The sequence below is a fragment of the Homo sapiens genome, chromosome Y (genome assembly GCF_000001405.40).
Source record: "Homo sapiens chromosome Y, GRCh38.p14 Primary Assembly".
NCBI lineage: Eukaryota > Metazoa > Chordata > Mammalia > Primates > Hominidae > Homo > Homo sapiens.
Genome location: NC_000024.10, coordinates 24,326,618 through 24,329,412, shown reverse-complemented (window position 1 = coordinate 24,329,412; position 2,795 = coordinate 24,326,618).

Genomic DNA, 2,795 nt, shown 5'->3' with positions numbered 1-2,795 from the left:
ATAAATTTGGAAAATATTGAGAATTAGAGCCCCCATTAGATATGTACCGTAGCTACTCAGCTTGCTACAGATGAAGTAAACATTGTAATATTCACCCAGCTTTTGAGTGATGTCTATTAACGTCACCCAAATGAGTATTCCATGGAATGCACTTTGCAAAAACCTATTATTCAAGAAACTTCTGGAGCATGAAAGCTATTAACGATAAATCCATTCACAAAATCACACCAAATATCTAAAATCATGTTTAAAATCTCCTAGAAATGGGTTGAACTGCCCACTTCAGAGACAAAGTGATTCTTTTGTAATAACGAGTTTTGTTTAGTGAGTACTTATTATCTCATTGAATCCTGAGGACTACCTCACAAGGTAAGTATAGCTCTTTTCATTACACATGACAAACAAGACTCAGAGAGGTTAAGTAACTTGCTCAAGATCACAAAACTGCAGAGTGACAAACCTAGAATTTTAAATCTAAGCTCAAAGGGTCACCAAACCAAATTTGGGTCCACCCACCCAGCCTATCAAAGTCAAGCACTGATATCAGCATTGCTGAGACAGAAGTTGAGGAATTTATTGCAGGCAGCAAGCAAGGAGTATCAGGCAGCTAATCCTTAAGGCCTAATCTCCCTGATGGCTTATGTGTAAGGGTTTTTAAAGGGGGGAAGGCAGAGGTTGCAGGCAAGGTCATACAATACATGGAGGCTACATATTGGTTTGGCCAAAAAAGGCAAAATATCTCGAAGTGAGGGCCCACAGGATAGGTGATCATTAGATGAATTAAAAGATTTTCTGATTTGAGACCAGGTGCAGTGGTTCACACCTGTAATCTCAGCACTTTGGGAGGCCAAGGTGGGTGGATAACTTGAGGCCAGGAGTTTGAGACCAGCCAGACCAACATGGCAAAACACCATCTCTACTAAAAATACAAAAATTATCTGGGCGTGGTGGTGTGCACCTGTAATCCTAGCTACTCAGGAGGCTGAAGCATGAGAATCGTTTGAACCTGGGAGACAGAGGGTTCAGTGAGCTGAGATCATGCCACTGCACTCCAGCCTGGGCAGCAGAGTGAGACTCTGTCTCAAACAAACAAACAAAAACCCAAAGATTTTCTGATTTGTGATTGGTTAAGTTTTGGCTACAAACTTGGGGTCAGCAGAAAGGAATGTTCTGCTCTGGCCTGTGGGTGTGACTTCCTCCAGGTCCCTCAGGAAGAAATTTAGAACAAAGAACAGTTGTGAGAGTTCAGTCTTCAGTTCCTCCTTATCTGAGATCTATGAGTCAAGAGGTGGTATTTTCCATTTAGCGGGGTCTGGATTTCTACAAAACAACTCAGGGACATATGTTAAGATGTTATCTCTAGTTTCTATAGGGAAACAAATATTTTGTGGCTCTACTTTTCTTTTTTTTTAATTTAACTTTAAGTTTTAGGGTACATGTGCACAACGTGCAGGTCTGTTACGTATGTATACATGTACCATGTTGGTGTGCTGCACCCATTAACTCATCATTTAAGATTAGTTTGTGGCTCTAATTTTCTTGACTATTGTTTTAGGCTATTATTACCTTCTTACTTATCACGGTGCTCATCTACTTCTTGAGCCTAGGCAGGTGGCTGGAATTTTCCTTGGAGGGACTCAAGAGTTTCCTTTATTTTTCATGCCTTAAATGGGTCTGTTCTCCCTCTCCAAAGCTCAAGCTTTTAAGGACTATGCTATGGTTAGATTTTTTGTATTGGAGCCAACCTTCCCTCCTACTCAAGAACACCCCTTCTTCAGACAGCCTGGCTGGGTCTTCATCCTGGGAGAGCTCATGAAACACAAACCAGATCTTGGCCCTCACATGTGTCTAGGTAGAGCTGACCCTGGGCAACACCAAGCGTTCCCCCAATTTTGCATGCCCCAGCCAATTCAGAGTCAAGATCCATGCTCATCTCCTTCCCTGCAAAGTGCTAATGATGAAGGATGGGGATCAAGTCAGCAAACTCCAGAAATGCTCTTAGACTAGGAGTCAAGCCTTGAGATCCTATTACACACCAGATTCATTCCCTGATTAGAGCTGCTGAATTCTTTTACTGTCACTGCGCTCATGCTAAAATTTCTTTCCTCTAGCCTCCTAGCCCCAGAGGAGGCTGAGCCATGATACCCATTGTCAAGCAATAAATATTTAAGGAGCCCCTGAGATATGTCAGGCACCATCGTAGGTGCTGGGACAAGTGAATGTGACCAGGAAAGTCCCTCCCCTCTCAGAAGTTCTTTTCAAGTTGGAGGACAGCAAATACAGAAATATAGAGTCTAACATAACAACAGGGAGTAATAAACACTTTGAAGAAAAATAAAGTGGAATAAGAGGGTAAGGTTGCCATAGGGTTCTCTGGGCAGTCTTCTATGGGAAGGCCACTTGTTGGGGCAGAGAAACAAAAGATGTCTGAAAGGAGGACTACGGGCCCCCCATAAGTGTGCTCCAGTCAGTGCACAGGGCAATGGGCATGTAATTTCCTATGATTAAGACCTACAGTATGTACAATATTACTGCAACAGACACTGAGACTGACTTAGCATTGTTTCATAGCATCCGAGTTGCTCTGTTGGAGGAAAGTGCATGTGATGGGCATTCATTTGCTTCCGCCATCAGACAGATTCTCTACCTTTGTCCTTCCTACAAGATTCCCTAGGAAGGCAGGGCTCAGTGGCTCACGCCTGTAATCCCAGCAATTTGGGAGTCCGAGACAGCCAGATCACAAGGTCTGGAGTTCAAGACCAGCTTGGCCAACATGGTGAAACCCCGTCTCTACT